This window comes from Homo sapiens, chromosome 1, assembly GCF_000001405.40.
Source record: "Homo sapiens chromosome 1, GRCh38.p14 Primary Assembly".
NCBI lineage: Eukaryota > Metazoa > Chordata > Mammalia > Primates > Hominidae > Homo > Homo sapiens.
Window position 1 is genome coordinate 1110643 of NC_000001.11, and position 22206 is coordinate 1132848.

The following is a 22206-nucleotide window of genomic DNA, read 5'->3' on the forward strand; positions in this document are numbered from 1 at the left end:
ACCTGGGATGCAGCCTTCCCCCCGGGCACGTTCCCAAGAGAAACAACACACGCCCGCCAAACACGTGCACAAAAATAGGCCCAACTCTTCAGACAGCGGAAACCCACCCGGGCGCCCTCAGAGACGACGAGCACGCAACAGCGCATCCCACACCCACTCCTTGTGCAGCACCTCAGAGGAAGCTCAACAACAGTTCTCTGCGTGAGCCGTGGCAGACGCAAAACCGCCCGCACGTGTGACTCCTAACACTCAGAGTGTCGGTAAAATCACAGCAGCGCTCCTGTCTGGCGCGGCAGGCGGGCGCTGGAGCAGCCTGCGAGGCAATCTCCATGGATCACAGGCAGATTCTACATCACGACAGGAGTCTGGTGAATCCTTTGTCAAAACAATTGAACTGGACACAAGCTCTGTGTGTTTCACTGCATGTAAATTATGCCTTAGTAACTAAACACATGCATTTTCTATTTTGAAAATCTCATTGGAGCCAAAAAGCTAAATAATGGGATGAAAATTTCTACAAGGCAATGAAAAATTTAGTGAGAATTTAAATTGTGCTATACACTCTTTGACCACTCTTATTTTCCCTTAGAAGAACTGGTTTCAGGGCAGGTGTGGAGGCTCAGGCCTGCAATCCCATCATTTTGGGAGGCCAAGGTGGGAGGATCGCTTGAGCCCAGGAGTTCAAAACCAGCCCGGACAACAGAGTGAGATCTCATCTCTACCAAAAAAAAAAAAAAAAAAAAATAGCTGGGCTTGGTGACGTATACTTGTGGTCCCAGCTATTTGGGAGGCTGAAGTGAAAGAATCTCTTGAGCCTGGGAGGTCAAGGCTACAGTGAGCCATGATCGCACCACTGCACTCTACCTGGGCGACAGAGCCAGACCCCGTCTCAACAACAACAACAAAGAACTGGTTTCAAGAAAAAAATGATGCCTCAGGTCACTGTGATTTTAAATAAGTAACATCTTGCAAAACAACCCTGTAAAAGCAACCACCGGCTGGGGCAGTGGGTAGACCACACCCACGCTCACCGTAACTCCAGCCGCCCAGGCAGCAGTAACTGAAAAGGGGAGGCGGGAGGGTCCACTGGCGGGTTTCTCACGCTGCTGAACCTCGGTAAACACAGCCCCGAGGGCTGGCTGGAGCTTCCACTGCATCCGTGTAGCTAATGCTGGTCATCTTCGTAGCAAGCAAAGGAAGCCAACGTGAAACGTAGCTTTAAGGGCCCAATAAGAACTGTCTGGGGCCTCTCTACCTAAAGATCCCTCTCGTGCTTTGATAGAAAACAAATACCGCAAACCCCTTGATGGGGTGTAAAGGAGACATCCCCCTTTGTTGACATGCATGGTAGTCGCTGCCCACCTACCCGTGGGCTCAGCACACCGGAGTCGGGCGGTTGCCGTAGGTGGCTCAGCAGACGTGAGCAGGGCAGGATCGGGCCCATCCCCCCACCGGGAATGTCAGGCCACCATCAGGTGATGGTCAGGTGGCTGTTAACTGTCTAAAAGAACTGGTTGCACCCAGCGCCAGGGAAAGACAGGCTCCCAATAGCTAGAAAACACATGAAATCCGGTGATGGGCAGCTTCCCGATACGATCTCAGGAACTGGGCGAGTTGGCTCAAGCGTGTGCACTGAGAGGCAAAATGGCGGCGTGTAACCGTTCTATGACCTTCTAGGGACGTTTGACAGGTAACGGAAGAACGCCTCAGGTGAGCATGGGCACTACTCCAGTGAACACACGGCGCACGGTCCCTCCCTCCAGTGAACACAACGCACACGCTCCCTCCCTCCAGTGAACACACAGCGCATGCTCCCTCCTTCCAGTGAACACACGGCACATGCTACCTCCCTCCAGTGAACACACGGCACATGCTCCCTCCCTCCAGTGAACACAACGCGCACGCTCCCTCCCTCCAGTGAACACACAGCGCATGCTCCCTCCCCCCAGTGAATACACGGGGCATGCTCCCTCCCTCCAGTGAACACACCGGGCATGCTCCCTCCCTCCAGGGAACACATGGCGCATGCTCCCGCCCAAGTACTAGCAAGATGCTGCATGGGTGGACAGCCCACCCTGAAGAAGGATCAGGGGAGAAGGGGTGCAAGACCCCAGAAGCCTGCCAGGCTATAAAACCCCAAGTCAAAAGGTGAAACCGCACACCTGATCTCTCACATCGCCCGTCTGGCCCTCCTCCAAGGGTACTTCCTTTCCTTCCTGCTCTAAAGCTTCTTCAACAACTTTCACTCCTGCTCTAAAACTTGCCTTAGTCGGTGGGGTGCGGTGGCTCACGCCTGTGATCCCAGCACTTTGGGAGGCTGAGGTGGGTGGATCATCTGAGGTTGGGAGTTCGAGACCAGCCTGACCAAAATGCAGAAACCCCTTCTCTACTAAAATACAAAAAATTAGCCGGTTGTGGTGGCAGGCACCTGTAGTCCCAGCTACTCGGGAGGCTGAGGCAGGAGAATGACATGAACCCGGGAGGCAGAGCTTGCAGTGAGCCGAGATTGTGCCACTGCACTCCAGCCTGGGCGACAGAGACAGACTCCATCTCAAAAAAAAAAAAAAAACTTGCCTCAGTCTCTCCTTCAGCCTCATGTCCTTCCATCAAATTCTTTCTTCTGAGGCAGCGAGAATCGAGGCCGCTGCTGACATACTTTGGTGCTGAAACTCAGATACATTCTGCCAGTAATAGAGCTCTGAAGGCTCACCTGAGCTCCACACTCCACCTCGGCACACGCAACCCTCAGCCAGAGTGGTGAGAAGAGGTGGCTCTTTCTTTTCTTTGTGAAACAGGCTGGAGTGCATCGTTGCGATCTCGGCTCACTGCAGTCTCCACCTCCGGGGCTGAAGCGATCCTCCTGCCTCAGTCCCTCGAGTAGCTGGGACTGTTAGTGGCAGAATATGTCCCACTTCTGACACCAAAGCATGTTAGCAGCAGTGAACCTCAATTTTTCCCTCCTCAGAAGAGTTTGATGGACGGGTAGGAGGCAGAAGAGACCTTAGAGCAGGAGCAACAGTTTATGAAGAAGCTTTAGAGCAGGAATGAAAGGAAGTAAAGCGCCCTTGGAAGAAGGCCAGGCAGGAGACCTGAGAGATCAAGTGCGCAGTTTGACCTTTGACTTAGGGTCTTCCACGCTGGAGGCTTCCGGGGTGTTACGTCTCCCGATTCTTCCCTCGGGGTGGGCCGTCCACCCGCACAGCGGCTGCGGGCACTTGGGAGGGAGCATGCACAGAGTTTACTGGAGTTGTGCGCACGCTCCCTCGAGGCCTTTTTTTTTTTTTTTTTTTTTGAGATGGAGTCTCGCTCTGTCACCCAGGCTGCAGTGCAGTGGCGCAATCTCGGCTCACTGCAACCTCCGCCTCCCGAGTTCAAGCGATTCTCCTGCCTCAGCCTCCTGAGTAGCTGGGACCACAGGCGCCCGCCACCATGCCCGGCTAATTTTTGTATTTTTATCAGAGACGGGGTTTCACCATATTCGCCAGGCTGATCTCAAACTCCTGGCCTTCTGATCCGCCCCCCTCCCCCCACGGCCTTGCAAAGTGCTGGGATTACAGGTGTGAGCCACCGCGCACAGCCAGGGCCGCCTTCTCTTACCAGCCAAATGTCCCTGGTAGAGGGGGGCCCCTCTTCTGCCCTGCTCATGTCTGACTAGCTACCTACTGTAACGGGCCACAGGTGCTTGCCCCCATGCCTGGATAATATTTTTTATTTTTTATAGAGACGAGGTCTCCCTATGTTGCCCAGACTGGTCTCAAGCGATCTCCCACCCCAGCACCCACAGCGCTAGCTGTTCTTTAAATGAGCTACCCAGTAAGTCAAAGCTCAGGTGGAGAGCAGCCGCAAGGCAGGGAGCAGCTGGGAGGTATCTCAGGGGTTCCCGGGATGCTGCCTGTGCACCCCAGGGCTGAGGTGACTGCGTGTGGAAACACCTGCCTGACTGGCTTTTAGGAGGAGTACTGGGGGCGGGATGTGTGTCAGGAAAACAACGTTTCTGTATAATTCATAAACATGTATGTTAAAAACAACGTGGCCATGACGGATCCTGGCTGAATGCAAACGGGGAACATAAACCTGAGTAATCAGGCGCATCACTGAACATCCCAGGCGGCCGCCCCTACCCTGGGGCTCAAAACCGGCTCCCTCTGCGAGGGTTTCCCAGGTTAAGCCATCAGGAAACAGGAAGACGCCTAAGAACGATACACTGGACTTTGGGGACTCGGAGGGAAGGGTGGGAGGGGGACAAGGATAAAAAGCTACAAATAGGGTGCAGTGCGTACTGCTCGGGTGATGGGAGCACCAAAATCTCACAAATCACCACTAAAGAGCTTACCCATGTAACCAAGTAACCAAACACCACCTGTACCCCAGTAACTTACGGAAAAATAAAAGAGGAAGACGCAGCTCTGCCTTCTCTGCACACCCTGGTAATACTAAGAAAAATGAAAACCAAAAAAAGGAGGCCAAGTTTGACATCCTGAAATTTAACAGGACGAGGCGGCTAAGAATTCAGCCACAAAATAGTTCCCGGGGAAGAAGCCGCGTTTGCTTTGAAACGCGGTAAGAAATGCCCCCGAACACCTGGGCTTAAATTACACCCAAACTCAATCATCGACTCGCTGCCACCGGAACACGCGCTCCCGAAAAACTGCACCCCGACTAGCCCTCGGCTACTCCAGGTGACAAACGGACAAAAACAAATCCTAAAGCCTCGCGGGAAAAAGACCTGAATCGTGGCCGACTTCTAGGACACCGGGGACCGCGCCGGTGCCCCCACTCCCGGCTGCCGGGAAGGCGAGGCGAACGCGCCCCCTTTCTTCCCCCGGGCGCCCGTCCCATCCCCTCCCCAGGGACCCCCTCCCTGCCCCGAGAACCCCCTCCCCTCCCCAGGTGCCCCCTCTCCCCCAGAGACCCCCTCCCCTCCCCAGGGACCCCCTTCCCTGCCCCGGGAACCCTTCCCCTCCCCAGGGACCCCCCTCCCTCCCCAGGGACCCCCTCCCCTCCCCAGGGACCCCCTTCCCTGCCCCGGGAACCTTTCCCCTCCCCAGGGACCCCCCCTCCCCGCTCCGGGAACCCCCTCCCCTCCTTAGGGACCCCCTCCCCACCCCTCCCCGGGGTCCCCCTGCCCTCCTCAGACGCCCCTTCCCCTCCCCAGGCGTCCCGCTCAGCCCGGGCGCCTTTCCCCCATAGGACCGCGGCCAGGCTCGTTGGGAGGCGGCGACGAGGACGCGGGCCCAGGCGCTGGCGGCTCCTCCGCGCGCCGCACAATGGGGGACGCGCAGGGAACGTCCCTCGGGCCGGGCCAGGGCCGCCGACCTTTGTCTGCCTCTCGCACTCCCTGCGCCGACCCGGCCGCCCAGACGGACCCCAGCGCCCCAACCCGCTACCCTCACGCCTGCCCCCAGCCCCTCACTCACCCCGGCGCCCTCCGGGTTTCTCTTTCGTACACCCCGCCCTCAGGCGGTGGCGCCGCGCCCCCTGGGACTTGTAGTCTTTCTTCCGCCCCGGCCCCGGCGCCAGGCCCCGCAGCTCCCAAAGAAAACTACAACTCCCGGCGGCCCGCGCGAGAGCCGCCCTCGCCTGGTGGTACCATCGCGCGCGGCCGTGGGTGGGGCGCCGGGGCGGGGCGCGAAGCGCCCTGGGAAATGTAGTCCTAGAAGAACCAGCGCATGTCTCGGGTCCCTGACACGGAGGGACTACATTCCCCCGGATTCCTCGCGCGCCGGCTGCTTGGCGTTGCCGGGAGACGGGGCGGGGCGTCGTCGGGGTCTCCCGGGCGACCGCACAAGCGTCGGCGTCCTTAGCGTTCCGCCGGTTTAGGCGGAGGCGGAGGCGGAGCGTTTGGGGGCGGCCGGGGCGGCTTCGGCTTCATCGGAGAAGGCGGCGCGGCTGCACCAGGTTTGGCCGCGGGCGCGCGGGGCCAGCGCCCTCCAGACCCACGGAGCGCCCCGAGCGCCTCGCGAGCCGCCGCCAAATGCGCCCCAGGTCCGCGGCCGGCGCCAGTGCTGGGACCTCGGCGGCCGGTGTCGGAGCGCGGCGGGAGAGACCCTGCCTTGGGTGCGGGACTGGGACGGCTCGGACCCAGAGGGCTCCCGGGGCTTCGCCTCTCGGACGGGTCAGGGCTCTGCGGTCTCAGGACGCTCCCCCGTGAGTCTCGGCGGCCCCGGGGTCTGGGCGGCGTCGCTGCCCCACAGGCCGGGCGCGTGGGTTTTTCCGGGGCTCTGCCTCTGAGCCACCCTCGGAGAAAAGACAGCTCTGTGCGTCCCGCGGCGCCCGCAGCTTTCGGCAAACATGTTTAAAGGAGCTCCCCGAAGGAACTGGGGACGTCCGTCCGCTCATCAAAGGCTTCAATCCTGTCGGTGTCCCCGGGCCCTCTCCTAGCTGGGCCAGCGCGCAGGGTGGGGGGGCGCTGCAGGTGTCGCGGCCCCCCCCAACCTCCGCAGACCCTTCCAACCCCTCAGACCCCCCAAAACCCCCAGATCCCCCAACCCCCCATATACCCCCAACCCCTCAGACCCCCCAACCCCCCAGACCCCCCAACCTCCCAGGCCCCCAGACCCCCCAGCTCCCTTGCTCCCGGGAGCTCCCAGGCCCGTCCTGCATGCGCCTTGGGGTTGTTCCTCCTTGATGGACGCCGCCTCCGGGTTCCATCCCAAGTTTAAATGCCAGAGATTTCAATGGAAATAAAGCCCCCATCTTAACAGCGTGAGGATGTTTTGTAAACAGTATTGGGGACAGCTGGGGAAGTCACATTTGTGTCTTCTCTTTAGAGGGACAGTGTTCGCCTGAGGGTCCATCCCAGGGTTCCCTCAGGGCCTCTGGAGGAGTTGATGCCACCAGTGTCTGGCCGTGGGACACCTGGGCGTGGGCGCCCAGCACCAGGGGTTCGCTGACAGCTGCAGGGTTTCCGGCCATGCGCCCGCGGACGTGCAGCTTCTGTGTCGGTCCCATTAAGAGGAACCTGGCCTGGGCGACGTTTGAGGACCACGGGGAGGACACAGTCGCGGTCCCCTTCTCGGAGTCCAGTCTGTGCCACAGGCTCTTGCCGTCTGCGGCAACTCATTGTGGAGCTGAGCCAGTGTTTCCACTTCCTTTTTGTTTTTTTGTGTTTGAGAGGATTTCACGCTGTCACCCAGGCTGGATGCAGTGGCATGATCGTGGCTCACTGCAGCCTGGACCTCCTAGGCTCAAGCGATCCTCCACCTCAGCCTCCAGAGTAGCTGGGACCACGGGTGTGTGCCACCATGCCTTGACACATATTTCTTTATTTTTTTGTAGAGACGGGGGTCTGTTTTGCCCAGGCTGGTCTCAAACTCCTGGGCTCAAGCAGTCCTCCCGCCTGGCCCTCCCAAAGTGCTGAGACTACAGGCGTGAGCCACCATGCCTGGCGTCCACTTTCTTGACTATTTCCTGAAGACCAGCGTTTCCCGGGTGGTTTCACAGCTGCGGAAGCTGCCTGTGTCAGTGTCAAGTCCCTACCCCTCGGCTTGGCCTGGGGCTGTGGCCCTGGGTGACCGTGTCCTTATGCTGGAGCTTGGTCCACAAGTGTCCCCGCCCCTTGTTCCGTCACTCATGGTGGTCTGCACCTCTCTACACGTTGGCCCCTGTCAGAGGGAAGAAGGCAAAGTCCTGGAGCTGCGGGAAGCCGTGCAGTGCATGTGTGTGTGCCTCGGGCCCGGGCTGCAGGCCCCAACAGGGCCCACCCAGCACCTGCTGAACTGTGCTCTGAGACCAGCACCCACCTGATCTCTGGGAGCAGAGCCCCTGCCGGCGTGGGCCAACCTGACAGCAGCTGCCTGGGCACTGGGCACTCCCTCGTCTGTCAGGCGGGCAGTGGATAGCTCGTCCTCTCCCTGGGGAAGGGAGACGAGGCCATGCGAGATGTCCCTGGAGGCTCCCTCCTGAGTAACCGCACGGGGTGCACATTCCCGAGAACACGAAAGGGTGCAGGATTCCACTAGGCCAGGTGGAAACATAAGGACACCGTAGGGTCGCATCAAGTTGAAGGACAATCTCTAGACTAAAACAGAAACGACATTTACTCCCCTAAGGGCCACACGGGCTGAATCCCATCCTCAGGTTATAGCAGGGATGCTAGGTCTGAAAGCCACAGGGGAGCATCGTAAGTCGCAGGTGCCCACAGATCACACCAGGGACCCCACCTCTGCCAACCGGGCTGTTTGTGTCCCCGAAAGGGAGCACTTTCCTCCCCAGAGACTTCAGGTGCAGTATGGGAAGGTTGGGGAACTAAAAAGCTGTGCACTAATATTTTTTGTATTAAAATAGAACCATCTTATGTTTGTAATGCATGGGGTTTTGTAGGGGCGGGATGTTTTGTTGAGATGAGGACTCGCTCTGTCGCCCAGGCAGGAGTGCGGTGGTGCCATCGTAGCTCACTGCAGCCTCGACCGCCCGGGCTCAAGGATCCTCCTGCCTTGGCCTCCCACAGCACCTGGGGCCACAGGTGTGAGCTGCCGTGCCCAGCCCGGCATTCATAATGCTCAAGAGAACTTGTCCTGAGAGAGGGTCGGCTTTGCCACTGAATCATCTTTCAAATGAGGAAATTATTTAGGCTCTGTAGTGTAAGTGGAATCTTACTGCATTTATGTAGGGTCTTGGAAAACTTAAGAGATTTTAGGAACAAACTATATGTTTAACGAGTCTGGAGGTATATCAGTGATTTAGTGGGGAAGATTTTGTTAATTCAAAGTGTTTGCAAACGAGTTAGAACATACGCATTTGTAAATACAGTGTAAAATGTTTGCTGGTGGGCTGTGAATTAAGAGCAGAAGGAGATGCCACCGCCTGTCCAGATGGCCAGGATTTAAACAGCCACAGCTGGTCCCTCATGCACTGCGGGGGTTGCGGAATGGTGCGGCCCCCTGGAGAGCCCTTGGCAGTTCCTTAAAAATTGGAACATGCAGGTGCCGTGGAAGGCAGCAGTGGCATTCTGGGGCATTCATCTCAGAGAAATAAAAACTTCACACACTCGCCGGCAGCTTCATTTTAATAGCTCCAAACTCGAAACAACACTCCCCCCCAGGTGGGTGGTGAGCCCACCCCGTGCAGACACCCTGAGGAGCGGGCACCATGAAGAGGCCAGGATCCGGCTGGGCGCGGTGGCTCACGCCTGGAATCCCAGCACTCTTGAGAGGCCAAGGCGGGCGGATCACTTGAAGTCAGGAGTTTGAGACAGGCCTGGCCAACATGGTGAAACCACGTCTCCATTAAAAATAAAAAAAAATTAGCCAGGTGTGGTGACACACGCCTGTAATTCCAGCTACTCAGGAGGCTGAGGCATGAGAATCACTTGAACCCAGGAGACAGAGGTCTCAGTGAACCGAGATCGCGCCCCTGGGCCACAGAGCGAGACTCCATCTCCAAAAAAAAAAAACCCAAAAAACGAAAAAAAAAAAAAAACCAACAACAACAAAGGAGGCAGCGTCCATCTGGGGGGACCTGAACAACTCCAAGGGCCTTGGCTGGCGAGAAAATCCTGCCTCAAAAGGGCGCGTGCTCGGTGGTTCCACGGTCTACCATTCCCTCTTAAAAATGTTTTTAAGCAGAGACGGAGACTTGCTGTGTCGACCCGGCTGGTCTGGAACTCCCAGGCTCATGCGACCTGCCCCCCTCCCACCGTGCCTGGTTCTACAGCTCTTAAAGGGCAAAACGGTGAAGCTGGATCACAGATCACAGTGGTGAGCAGGGGTGGGGCGGGCACCCCAGGGGTGCGGGAGGTTGGACCACTCACATGGGCCTGGATGCCTCCTGGTTATGACACTGCCTTCCTGTTCCTGCCGTTCCGCTGGGGGAAGCAGGGGTGGGGGGTGGGGGTCCCTGAGCTCCGCTGGGGGAAGCTGTGGTGGGGGATCCCTGAGCTCCTCGGCCCTGACTGGGCTTAATGGTCTCTGGGCCTTTGACTTTGTCCTTTATTCTAGGACATGGCTATTTGGACAAATAGTTCAAAACCCCTAGAAGATGCCGGGCTTGGTGGCCCAAGCCTGTAATCCCAGCACTTTGGGAGGCCAAGGCGGGCGGATCACCCAAGGTCAGGAGTTCAAGACCAGCCTGACCAACATGGTGAAACCCCGTCTCTACTAAAAATACAAAAATTAGCTGGACATGCTGGCATGCGCCTGTAATCCCAGCTACTTGGGAGGCTGAGGCAGGAGAATCACTTGAACCCGGGAGGCAGAGCTTGCAGTGAGCCGAGATCGCGCCACTTCACTCCAGCCTGGCAACAGAGCGAGACTCCGTCTCAAAAACAAACAAAAAGCCTAAGAGATGACTTCGGAAAGAGGGAAACTGAGGCGGAGCTCCCAGCCGTGCCAAACAGCAGCTCCTCCTGAGGGCTCCTGGGGACCTCAGTGAGGCTCGGTTTTGGGGGCCTCGGTGGGGCTCGGTTTTGGGGGCCTTGGTGGGGTTCGGTTTCTGTTGCGTCACCTCTATGCGGTCCCTGGGGCTGGCGTGCCAAGGCTCGCTGGCTTCCTACTGCACTGGGACTCCAATTATCCGCAGGCCATTCCCAGAAGGGCTGCTCTTCCCAGCAGGCCAGGCCGTGCCTCCCTGATGGGGGGTGCTCTTCAGCTCACGGGGAAGGGGCTCAGTCCCCACATAGCTACACCAGGACGTGCGTGGACGAGGGAGGCTCAGAACTGCAGCTGGGTGCCCTTTACCCCCGGCAGTGCTGAGCCTGGACACCTTGTCCACCCCCCCACACCGACATGCAGGGCCCAGAGGCCTCCTTGCCTAAGGGAGGAGCAGGTGGAGGTGTTAGCTCTTCCAAACAGGCAGGTGCTGGGGGAGGCTCAATTATCAGCACGCAGTTAATCCCCTAATTAAAGGAGGCAAGTGCTGTTCATGGCCCCACCTCCTCCCCAGCCAGGCTGCTGCCCTGCAACGAGGCTGAAGCCTCCTGCTCTGCGGAGGCAGGCCCTGTGTTCTGCGCTGAACAGGGCTGTGGCGACCCCCAGCCCCTCCCGGTGCCCACGCTGCCCCTCCCCCCATTGCCCCCTGGGATTGCCCCCCCTCCCCCACCCCACCCCATCTGGGACTCCTGCCCCTACAGCAGCCGCAGCAGGCCCAGGGGTGAGGCCAGCCTCACGTGGCGCCTGTTCTGTGGGTGGGGTGGGGCCTTCCTTGCTCTGGGCAGAGGGGTGCCAGCCCTGAGGTCCTGGAGCCTCCCAGGCTGAGCCACTGGCCCTGATGCCCACTGGGCTCTCGGCCGATGGACGACCAGGAGACGTGGGGACCAGCGGGCTGGGCTGTGGGTGCTCCCTCCTCAGAGCTTCAGGAACCCTCTGTGTGGGGGGCGTCTCTTCCCTAGAAACTGTCCTGTGCTGGCTAAAGAGCCTCCGGCGGCTGTGGGACAGCCTCAACCTTGCCAGGGCTGAGATGACGATGGTTGCAGCTGCCTTTGGAGCTCGGCTGCCTGGCTGGGCAGGAGGCTGGGGGGCCTCTGTCCCGCCATGGCTTCCCCGGGACCCCACCCTCCGCCCTCCCCTGTGGCCTCAGTGGGCCTGGCACCCAGGCAGAGACTCTCGGGTTGGGTCGTGGGGCCCTGGGAGCACAGGCTGGGGCATCCGCGGACCCTCGTCTCCCCAGTGCCAGGTCCCTGAGCCCGCCTGCAGGTGGCGTCTCTCCCTCACGGGTGCCGGGCCCGGACCTGGGCACTGCACTTGGCGTTGCCGACCCAGCCGCTCCGACTCCTGCCCGGGAAGTCAGGCAGTGTGGCCGGGACCTTCCTCAGGAGACCCTGAGCAGGGGTTCTCAGGACCTGGGGGATCTTCGGAGCTGATGGGAGGCAGCCCCGCCGGGCTGGGTGGGTGGCAGAAGGCCCCCTGGCCTCGGCCTGTGAGGCCGGCTCCCTCGGAAGTGAAGCTACGGCACCTCGAAGCTCAGACCACAGCCATCCTCACATCCCCCGACGGCCCCCGTGCCTCAGGGGCCCCCCTTCCTACCTGCTGGCGACTCAGCGAGGTGGGGGCGTCTTCCCGTGCCCATGGCACCTCTCTCTGTTGCCACATTCTACCTCCTGAATCAAGGGGTGCCCCTCGCCCGTGGGGAGGTGGGGCCTGTGACCAACACCCTTGGGGCCAGCGTGGGGCAGACACCCCAGCTTCGAACCCCAGACGCCCACCTGGGGCCCCATCCACCAGCCCCTCTGCCTCACGCGGGTCTCTATGCACCAAAGTCCTGCGTCCACACAGGAAACCCTGGTTCACCGTAGGGACGCCAGTCACTCAGACGCAGGCCAGAGCTTTGGCCGTGCAAGGATGCAGTTTAATTACATATGACACAGATGGTGAAATACGTGCAAAGCACGGAGCTGTGTCTGTGAAAATGAAGAGGAACACTGAGGAGCAGCACGAGGACAAGCCCCACACTTCTGCGGTTGCTGTTGGCCTCAGCTCTGCCGCCTCAGGGCACAGCCTTCTCCGCAGTTGCTCTCCTGGCCCCGCAGGGTCGTGTGTGCCTGCATGAAGCTAAAACAAAATGCAGAGCTTCTCAAAACTGCTCTACTTCATACCATTAACCGGTCAGCCACCAGTACCAGCAAACCCGCAGATGGGACGCAGAGGCTTCCAGGAAAACAGCAACACCAAACACACCGGACGGGAGTCCTGGCTGCAGGCCGTTCTACATCCAGGGCCCCGGGTAGGCAGCGCTTACTCTTCCCCCATGCAAGCCCCTCCCTTGTGGACAAAGGCAGAAGTGAAGGTGGTGCTCTCCAGATGGGGCTGTAAACGCTGCGTCCTGTGTGCTCTGCCTGGGATGGCTCGCCCTGGACACCAGCCCTGGCCAGTGAGAAGCCCAGGAGCAAGTACGGAAGCTCATGCAGCACACACTTGAGCACACACCTGCACGCACACCTGCGCACACGCCACACACACCTGCGCACACTCCTGCACACACAGTGCACACACCTGCACACACACCTGTGCACACACACCTGTGCACACGCCACACACCCGTGCACAAACCTGAGCACACCTGCACACACACCTGAAAACACACCTGCGCACACCTGAGCACACATCTGCACTCACCTGTGCACACACCTACACACACACCTGAGCACACCCCACCCACACCCCCATGCACACACCTGTGCACACCACACACACCTGCACATACACCTGAGCACACATCTGCACACACCTGAGCACACACCTGCGCACACACCTCAGCACGTATCTGCAAACACTTGAGCACACACCTGAGCACACACCTGCACACACTCCTGCGCACACTCTACATACACTTGAGCACACACCTGGGCACACACCTGCACACACCTGCGCACACACCTGCACACACTCCTGCACACACCTGCGCACATGCCACACACACCTGAGCACACACCTGTGCACACTCCTGCGCGCACACACCTGCACACACGCCACACACCTGTGCACACACCTGCGCACACCACTGCATACACACCTGAGAACACACACCTGTGCACACACCTGCGCACACCACTGCATACACACCTGAGCACACACCTGCACACACACTTGGGCACCCACCTATGCACACACGCCTGGGCACACACCTGCACACACACCTGGACACACACCTGGGCACACACCTATGCACACACATGCCCTGCAGTTGAGCTCTGAGAAACCACCACCCTGTCCACTTCGCAATTGTGCTTCCTGCTACGTCCACAGCTCTGAGTTTCTGAGCTCTGGAAGCAGACGTGGTAAACGTGCATGTTCCAGCCACTGCATGTGGGGTCACTTGTTACACGGCAGCAGCTAACTCATGCAGGAAGCCACGTGAATTCTGGGCGTGGTTGGGGCCTCCTCCTGCACCCAGTCCGCTCACTGCTTGGGGCTGCCACATGCGTGGGGTTGCTGCCTCTGAGACCTCACATTCCCGGGTTCCCTCAGCCTCTGTTCTATTGGAAACTGCAGCCCTGTGGGCACAGGCAGGGCAGGCACTGCAGGTTCTCTTTGGAAGGAGCTTCGCAGGCTGAGGGTGGGGCCCTTCGCCACCCACTGCCCCACCCAGGGAGAGGCTGCCTCGCATCAGCTCCGGGGTCTCCACGTTCTCCAGACCCCAAGAACCCCTTGGCCTTGCAGAGTCTCTGTGAGTCAGGAGCTCAGCGCTGGAAGATGCATCCAGGTCAGGCAGAGACCCCTGGTCCAGCCTCCCCCTCACTTGCTGCTGGCCTGGGCCACGGCACTGCTGCAGGCTCCGCGGACTTTAGGCTCATTTAATGCCTGACCCTGAGTGGCAAGCCCCACCCTGGGCAAATATTTATTTGACAAATAAGGGCTCACCAGGACGAAGGCCATGGAAGGCTTTCCCCAGGGCAGCCGCTGAGCGGCTGTGGAGGCCGAGGGGTCTGTCCGCCTGGGGGAGGCAGGAGGGATGTGGGGAAAGGGGGGCCTCTGACCGTGAGTCCCCAGATCGGTTCAGGGGCGGTGGGAGCCCCGGCTGCTGGAGCCTGGTCTGCGTGGTACAAGACGGCCCCCGTGCCTGCTCTCTCTGTTCTGATGAGAGGATAGGGAAGGCCATGGTGCTGGAGGAGCTCCCGGCTCCCGGGGCTGTGGCCCAGAAAGACGCCCCAGGGTGGCACTCAGACAGTGAGGTGGCCTGTTGACCCCACAGGGAAGTGCTTGGTCTCAGGGCCCAGTACAGCTGCCCCCACAGGAGCCTCTACCACAGAAGCAGGCATGGAGGAGCTCGGAGGACCGTGGCGGGGACAGGGGAGGGTGTGTGTCTGCCTCGAGGCCTCTCCTCCAGGCCTTCCTCTCCTTCAAAGGGACTGCCGCGGCCGAGGTGTGGCCTGCAGGGGTGGACTCTGAGGCCAGCAGGGGCCCGCCCGACACCTCACCTGAGCTACACTCTTCCCCTGACAGAGGTGGCCGATGGGGCTGGCTGAGCTGGGCCTTTTATGCAGGAATGGACGCCCTTGGGGTCAGCCTCAGGGGTTAACCCTTAGCATCCTCTCAGGCCAGGATTCCAGGAAAGATGTTTCCTCCACAGGCCCTCAAGTTACCCCAGGGCAAAGAGTGGATGGCCCAGGCCCTGTGCAGAAAGAGTCCTGGGTCCTCCGTCCTCTTCCAACCTCCTGCTGAGAGTCCCAGGCAAGCACAGATTCCCAGGCTGGGGTATCCCATCCAGACTTTCGCCCTCTGTACCCTTCGTGCTGGGCCTGGGGTGGAGTGTACTTGGAGGGGACCCATCCTCAATCCACCTCGTTCCGGAGAGCTGAGCCCTCAAGAAGCCCAGGAGAGCAGCTCGGGGGAGCACGGACCCTGCTTCCAGCCCTGGGCCATTCGCCCGCTGGAAAAAAATCCCCAAAATTTGCTGATAAATATAAGAAAGTCACAGCAGCCTTCAAACAAGCAGACTCCATAGACAGACTCCAGAACCGCTCCGCAGGCACAGGAGACACCAAACACACTGCTGTCCGTCACAGTCAGGGACCCCCCGGGAAGGACGGGGGACGGAGGAGGGCAGGGGCCGCGGGGTGGGGGCCGAGGGCCTCCCCGTCAGCTGGCAGCAGCGGCCCCTCAGCAGCCTGGAGTGCTGGCCTGCCAGCCGGTCTGCCTGTCCTGCGCCATGGCCTCCCTGTGCGTCTGTGAAGTCAGTGTGAGCTGCTCCCGGGGCGGCACCGGCGTGGTGACCTCCTCCCTGGAATTCTCTCTGTTTTTTTTTTTTTTTTGAGATGGAGTTTTGCTCTTGTCGTCCAGGCTGGAGTGCAGTGGCACAATCTCGGCTCACTACAACCTCTGCTTCTTGGGTTCAAGAAATTCTCCTGCCTCGGCCTCCCGAGTAGCTGGGATTGCAGGCGCCCGCCACCACATCCAGCTAATTTTTGTATTTTTAATAGAGACGGGGTTTCACCATTTTGGCTAGGCTGGTCTCGAACTCCTGACCTCAGGTGATCCGCCCGCCTTGGGGGAGGCGGGGTCTTTCTCTGCCTTGGGGGAGGCGGGGTCTTTCTCTGCCATGGAGGAGGCAGGGTCTTTCTCTGCCATGAGGGAGACGGGGTCTTTCTCTGCCATGGGGGAGGCGGGGTCTTTCTCTGCCTTGGGGGAGACGGGGTCTTTCTGTGACTTGGGGGAGGAGGGGTCTTTCTCTGTCCCCAGTGGGGAGTCTCGCTCACCTCGCTGCGGCTTCAGCGGCCCTCCGCGAGCAGCGGGTGTGAGGTTTGCTGGTTTGGGTGTCGGAAAGCCAGCACACCCGAGGTCCGGCTGCTGCACCCACAGGGTTCGCGCTTTGACTTGTTGATGAGTGGTGGGCACGCTGGGCCCTCGCTGCAGTTTTTTTATTATTATTACTTTTATTTTATGTATTTATTTGTTTTTTGAGACGGAGTCTCGCTCTGTCACCCAGGCTGGAGTGCAGTGGTGCAATCTCTGCTCACTGCAAGCTACGCCTCCTGGGTTCAAGCAATTCTTCTGCCTCAGCCTCCTGAGTAGCTGGGACTACAGGCACGTGCCACCACGCCCAGCTAATTTGTTGTATTTTAGTAGAGACGGGGTTTCACCATGTTGGCCAGGCTGGTCTCCATCTCCTGATCTCGTGATCCACCCACATCGGCCTCCCAAAGTGCTGGGATGACAGGTGTGAGCCACTGTGCCCGGCCCGCCGCAGCTTTATTGATCTGAATAAGCTTTTCCGCGTGGATGCTTTATGGTTCTTTATGGTTGTGTTTCTTTAGTGCTTGGTGGATATTTTCCCAAATGCAGCTCCCTGGAGGCGCTTGCCTTGTGAGGAGCAGGAGCCTGAGAGTGCGGAACCGAGCGTGTCCTTCTCGCCGTCCCCTGGAAAAGATGAGCTGTGTCTGGTCCCAGCACATGATGCTCTGTTTTCTGAAACGGCACCCCTGGGTCTCTGGACAAGAGCCCTCCCCATCTTGCCCCTCCAGCACACAGGATGCCCTCCACAGCCACTCCCAGGGGGCTGGACAGAGTGGGGCTGAGCAGCGGCCACGGGAAGCCACCGGCCACCCAGACCCCCGTCCTCCCCGGGTGCTGCCCTGGGCCTAGGTGGCCAGGTCTGGGGGGCCGATACCACGGGCTACGCCCAGCCCCACCCGGCTCCTGTGTGGTGTCAGGGGCTCTGGCATGCCGGCAGGCCAGTGCTCTCGTGAGAGGTGGGTCCCCAAGCCGGCCCCAGCGAAACTCAGTTAAAGGACGAGTCTGCTTTTGGGCCTTATGTTTCCCAACTCCATGGGCAGAGCCACAGGGCCGCTGCCTCCTCCACCGTGGCTGGAGACAAGGCGGCCCCGGGTCTCTGTGAAGCCCTGGCCACGTTCAGCCGCAGGGCCCTGGGTGTCATCGCCACCGCCCCACTGTGGCCCAGGACTGGGGCTTTGGTGGCCCGTGCTGTGGGAGTGGGGGCAGCCAGCAGCCAGGGTCACAGGCCTGAGCCTCGGACAAGCACAGAAGGACCCCCAGGTCTGGTGCTCGTGCTGACTGCCAAGGGCAGCGACTGCAAGACGGGGGTGCAGGTTTCGGGCGTGGCGCGGGCTGCGTCGGGTTCTGGCATTCAAACATATCATGCGGGACCAGGCCTGGGGTTACAGGTGGGGCGGGCGCGCAGGAGAGGGGAGCCGTCCCGGAGCCGCTCTGCACCCAGAGAGGTGTGAGGTGCAGCCTTTCCCCCCTGCCAGGAAGCGCAAACCCTGCTTTAGACCCCAGGGAGTTGGTGCCCCCCCCAGATGCCCGCGGCTTCTCCCACATGGGGAGCTGTCCATCTGTGAGGTCAGACCTGGGCTGCGGGCTTGGCCACCGCTGGATGCCAGCCAGACCTGCCCCTCTGACTTTTCTTGCTCTTTTCTCTCTGCTTTTCCGAGGCCGGCTTTCCGCGAGGCACTTACTTGAAAATGGAGCCCCGGCATTCCTGCATGCACGGACACTAAATCCAAGGCCAGCTCCTCTCTCAGAGCAGAAGTTAAAAATTATTCAATGCCAAATTCCTGGGCTGTGGAGCAGTAGTGGTTGTACCAGGCAAAGGTTCCCGCCGCCTTCCGCCGGCCGGGCAGAGATAAGACCATGAGGGCGCCCGGGGGAGTCCGCGCCTGGCCCACACTGCCCTCCGCCGTCCTGGGACCAGGCCCACACCGCCCTCCGCCCTCCCAGGACCAGGTAGGACTGAGGCTCTGTGGGTCTGACCCACAGCGTCTGGGAGGTTTTGTCTCAAGGGCTGGTGGCTTCTGATGAGCCGAAAGCCCCCGCACCCACGGCCCCACAAAGCTTTTCTTCCGGGACCAGCCCCTCCCCAGTCGCCTGGCCAAGGCCCAGCCCTTAGGGGCCTCCATGGTGTGCTGGGGAGGACCTGGGGGTCCCGCTGGTGAGCCCAGGGCACAGTTGTGGCAGGCGGAGCCCGCGGGGAGGGCAAGGCCTCAGAAGAGGAGGGATTCAGCCGGAGGGCCTTCCCCAGGGCTGGCGGCTTCTGCTATTGGCTGGGGGGTGGTGAGGGTCAGCTGGGGCCTGCAGGGCTGTGCTGGCCAGGTGGGCCGGGCCTGGGGTCCCACAGCCTGAGCGGAGATGCCTGGAGGGGGCCACAGGGTGACCATGTGCCCCCCGGGAGAAGCTGGGGTCTTGGGTCCCCGTGATGATTATGGGTGTCTGGGGGTTCCTGTAGGAAAAGATGGCTGCGAAGGCCCCAGAGTTCCTCGGGGCCTGTGAATGACCCAGCCAGGGGGCCCTCAGAGGGGGAGAGAGACTGAGAAGCCATGATTTACATTTCCTGGCAGAGAGCTCTTGCAGGGAAACCAAATTTATTCCAGTTGACAAGGTGCGTGGGCATTGGGAACAACGTGGGTGGGGGCACAGCCTCCTCTGTCCCGGCCGAAATCCAGTCCTGCAGAGATTTGGAGCACAGAGCATCAGGGCCGCCTGTGAGGCACAGAGCGAATGGGGCACCAGCCTGCCCTCGGCCTCAGACACGGAGAGGCTCCCACGGCACTGAGCCACGCATGGCCACGCGACAGAGGGACAGAATGCCGTGGCCGTGTAGGGGAGCTGCACTCTGCGTGGCCCTGGGATGGGAAAATCCAGGGAAACAGACACTGTTATGGATGTGAGCATCGGCTGCCAGAACGAGAGGAAGCAGAAGAGGGGAAAAGGCCGATTATCGTAGAAGAGTTAGGAAAATCAATCAAAGATACCCCCTTGAGAACAGTTAAGTTCACAGCTGTGAGTTCTGGAAACCTTTATGTTTTAAAAATGATTCCGAGGACTCAGAGGGTAAAGCTCGCACCAACTTAATTTGTTATTGCCTTTTCTATCAAAGTTATGCTTGTGGCCGGACACAGTGGTTCGCATTTGGGAGGTCAAGGCGGGCGGATCACTTGAGGTCAGGAGTTCGAGACAAGCGTGGTCAGCATGATGAAACCCTGTCTCTACTAAAAATACAAAAAAATTAGCTGGATGTGGTGGCGGGCACCTATAATTCCAGCTACTCTGGAGGCTGAGGCAGGACAATCGCTTGCACCTGGAAGGCGGAGGTTGCAGTGAGCTCAGATGGCACCATTGCCCTCCAGCCTGGGCAACAGAGTGAGACTCTGTCTCAAAAAAAAAAAAAAAAAAAAAAAAAAAAAACCAGTTATGCCTGTAGGTTGCTTGAGAGTCAAACACTTCTGCAAGGCTTGGACACATATGATCTTCAGGCCGCGCCGAGGCCACCAGCTCCGTGTGCTGGGAGGCTCCTGTGTTTACTTCCAACGTCACTGGCAAACGGCAGCTTCTCAGCACTCCAGCTTCAGGGTCAGCCCTGAATCTGCCCTGTGGAAGGGGCTGTTTGCCGCCCTCCCACCTCTCGTCCCGCCGTCACGCGCCGCGCCTGGTCTCTGCTGTCACTCTGCTGGGCGCCGGGGACTAGCTTGGTGCCAGGTCCACCGTGGCCGCCTGTTCTCACCCGAACTCTGAGCTGTTTCCCTGAAGTTAATAATCGCCTTTGCTTTTCTTCTTGCTTAGCTTTCTCTGAACTCATTACTAATTCAGCCTCAGACTCTCCCCCATGACTTAAATTCCGGCACGCCAGGTATTTCTGAGGGGCCTCCGGGAGCCTCCTGCCCTGCCCGGGGCTGGTCGGCTCCCTCGGGCCTGGGGCAGGGCTGGCGTCTTGCAGGCTTCGTGGTCCGTGTCACAAAGGTCCCATTGCTTCTCCCCTGGGTGGGATTTTCCCGGGCCCCACACCTCCCCTTTCTTGTCTTCTCAGTGTTTTGGTGGAACAAGCCCCTCGCAGCTCCCCGTGAGGTGCAGGGGGTGGGCCCCCACCACGCCCACAGCTGCAGCTGCCTGTGAAGGGCACAGGGCGGGCCCCCACCAAGGCCTTCGCTTCCCTGCGAGTTGAGAAAACCTCGCCGCAGGGTCCCCGGCTCCCGAGGCTGCTGTGGGTCCGGCAATGGCATCCCAACCCCGGGGCCTTGGTATGGAACCTGTTTCTGCGGGTTTTTTCCTGAAAGTTTTTGGGGCCTTCTTTTTGTCTCCATCTCTGCTGTCCTGTGAAGGTGGATCTTTGTGTGGTTCCGTTTTCATCCCTTTCACGGGGTCCTCAGTGGCTCTTTCTGTCTGGAAATGCCTGAGCTTCGGCTCCAGGAAATGTTCTTGAATTACAATTTTTAAATGATTTTGTTCTTTATCTTTTCTTTTTGTTGTTGCTCTCTCTTTCTCTGGTGAATATTGCTGCAATTTGGAGCAGGTCCTCTAATCACCTTTTCTATCCCATTTTCTTTGCCTTTTCACGTCACGTTCGGGGAACGTCCTGGCTCCGTCCCTTCCAGCGCTTTTCGTTTCTGTCCTCGGAGTCATTCTTTTTAAGACGGAGTCTCGCTCTGTCGCCCAGGCTGGAGTGCAGTGATGTGATCTCGGCTCACTGCAAGCTCCGCCTCCTGGTTCACGCCATTCTCCTGCCTCAGCCTCCCGAGTAGCTGGGACTACAGGTGCCCACCACCATGCCTGGCTAATTTTTTGTATTTTTAGTAGAGACGGGGTTTCACCGTGTCGGCCAGGATGGTCTCGATCTCCTGACCTCATGATCCGCCCGCCTCGGCCTCCCATAGTGCTGGGATGACAGGCGTGAGCCGCCACGCCCGGCCCCTCGGAGTCGTTCTTTCTGTTGCATCCTCATGGTTTTCTGTGGCCACGTGCTTTCGCTCATCTCTTCGAGGACGTTCCTGATAGTTTGTGCCTCTTCTTTTCAAGGCTTCTTCTCCTTGCACAAGACGGTCTGGAGAAAAACCCGCATTTCCTTCCGTCACACTGACCACATTTAACTTAAAATGGGAAGAGAGCAAAACATTCCACAGGCAAAGTCAGGGGACTATTTTAATGACAGAGACACATGGTTGAAATCAATGCTGCACTCTGAGCCCTTAGAAACCGTCGCAAAGGACTCCACGGAAGGGTGGGGGCAGCCCCAGCGAGGTCGTCAGGGAGCAGAGCCCGAGTCATGGGACACAAGGCCGGACCCCTCACCGCCAGGGAAGCGGAGTCACAGGCACGTGGCCCTCTGCGCCCAGGGTCAGGGCACGGGAGGCAGAGCCTGAGACGGGGGTGCCCATGCAGGGTGTGCTGGGGGTGGGGTTGTGGGGCCTCTCAGGGGCAAGGGGCAGGACCGGACAGCAGAGAGATCCCACTCCTGCCTGAGACCCGCCGCCATCGCCGCCGCGAGCCCTGCGTTGGGCATTGGGGCCAGGCACCTGCCAGGAGGGCCTCTTCCGAGGTGGGGTGTCACCTGGGATGTGTCCGCTGGCAAATGGGAGAAACACCAGGGCGGCTGCCGGGGAGGTCGATGTCAGGGAGCCCGTAGCCCTGAGCCCATGTGTGGAGGAAGCCCTTTGTCTGAGGAGCCTGCGGCCGCCTTGGACCCTGGATGCTTGCAGGGAATCTACACAGGGTTGTCAGGTACGACAAGGGTGCCCAGGGCTGAGGAGGGTGCCCATGCGGCCTCCTACAATGCGTATGGGAAGCCGGTGAACGCCCTCCCTCAGGGCTGGCCGGGTGCGTCTGGGGTTGTCCTAGCTCCAGCTGCTGGAACAAAATACCGAGCCTGGGGACTTAAGCAACAGAAATGTATTTTCTCACAGCCTCGGAGGGGGAGGGGAAGGTCCGGTGTCCCAGGGTTGCCGGGCTGGTTCTGCGGAGGCCTCTCCCGCTGCTGCCTTCTCTCAGGCGGCCTCTGCGCAGGTCCGTCCCGTGTCCCTCTGCCCTAACCTCCTCCTGCAACTAG

At 59.7% G+C, this 22206-nt stretch overlaps 1 protein-coding gene and 2 long non-coding RNA genes across 5 annotated transcripts in view, besides 7 other annotated features; 1 reads left to right on the plus strand and 2 right to left on the minus strand.

Moving 5' to 3' along the window:
• Positions 1-5447, minus strand: part of C1orf159 (chromosome 1 open reading frame 159) — a 34267-nt gene extending 28820 nt beyond the window's left edge. For 2 of the 3 annotated variants that reach the window (NM_001363525.2, NM_001330306.2), the window contains exons 1-2: positions 5418-5447; positions 4380-4433 (exon numbers count right to left, since the gene is read on the minus strand). The gene's annotated coding sequence lies outside the window, so the exon portion shown is untranslated. The remainder of the gene's footprint in view (positions 1-4379; positions 4434-5417) is intronic. The other variant, NM_017891.5, reaches the window with a different exon arrangement.
• Positions 1147-1648: an enhancer, noted in NCBI's record as "H3K4me1 hESC enhancer chr1:1047169-1047670 (GRCh37/hg19 assembly coordinates)". NCBI's record gives its function as "activates a minimal SCP1, AML or CMV promoter by ChIP-STARR-seq in naive H9 embryonic stem cells {active_cell/tissue: H9 hESC(naive)}" and the evidence as "EXISTENCE:reporter gene assay evidence [ECO:0000049][PMID:30033119]".
• Positions 1867-2161: an enhancer, noted in NCBI's record as "tiled region #13538; HepG2 Activating non-DNase unmatched - State 18:Pol2; and K562 Activating DNase matched - State 14:Gen5'". NCBI's record gives its function as "activates a minimal TATA promoter and a strong SV40 promoter by Sharpr-MPRA in HepG2 and K562 cells {active_cell/tissue: HepG2 | K562}" and the evidence as "EXISTENCE:reporter gene assay evidence [ECO:0000049][PMID:27701403]".
• Positions 5138-5737: a silencer, noted in NCBI's record as "silent region_32". NCBI's record gives its function as "represses an Ori minimal core promoter by ATAC-STARR-seq in GM12878 lymphoblastoid cells {active_cell/tissue: GM12878}" and the evidence as "EXISTENCE:reporter gene assay evidence [ECO:0000049][PMID:35858748]".
• Positions 5908-6027: a silencer, noted in NCBI's record as "silent region_33". NCBI's record gives its function as "represses an Ori minimal core promoter by ATAC-STARR-seq in GM12878 lymphoblastoid cells {active_cell/tissue: GM12878}" and the evidence as "EXISTENCE:reporter gene assay evidence [ECO:0000049][PMID:35858748]".
• Positions 6068-6117: a silencer, noted in NCBI's record as "silent region_34". NCBI's record gives its function as "represses an Ori minimal core promoter by ATAC-STARR-seq in GM12878 lymphoblastoid cells {active_cell/tissue: GM12878}" and the evidence as "EXISTENCE:reporter gene assay evidence [ECO:0000049][PMID:35858748]".
• Positions 11367-11706: a silencer, noted in NCBI's record as "silent region_35". NCBI's record gives its function as "represses an Ori minimal core promoter by ATAC-STARR-seq in GM12878 lymphoblastoid cells {active_cell/tissue: GM12878}" and the evidence as "EXISTENCE:reporter gene assay evidence [ECO:0000049][PMID:35858748]".
• LOC124903819 (uncharacterized) lies at positions 12261-18342 on the minus strand. The gene is made up of 2 exons (XR_007065349.1): positions 17849-18342; positions 12261-16790 (listed from the first exon to the last, which is right to left on the minus strand). It is a non-coding gene; the product is annotated as an uncharacterized LOC124903819 (long non-coding RNA).
• Positions 12315-13133: an enhancer, noted in NCBI's record as "H3K4me1 hESC enhancer chr1:1058337-1059155 (GRCh37/hg19 assembly coordinates)". NCBI's record gives its function as "activates a minimal SCP1, AML or CMV promoter by ChIP-STARR-seq in primed H9 embryonic stem cells {active_cell/tissue: H9 hESC(primed)}" and the evidence as "EXISTENCE:reporter gene assay evidence [ECO:0000049][PMID:30033119]".
• LOC124903820 (uncharacterized) overlaps positions 18042-22206 on the plus strand; it is a 33257-nt gene continuing 29092 nt past the window's right edge. Inside the window, exon 1 of the long non-coding RNA XR_007065351.1 lies at positions 18042-18116. This is a non-coding gene — a long non-coding RNA (uncharacterized LOC124903820). The remainder of the gene's footprint in view (positions 18117-22206) is intronic.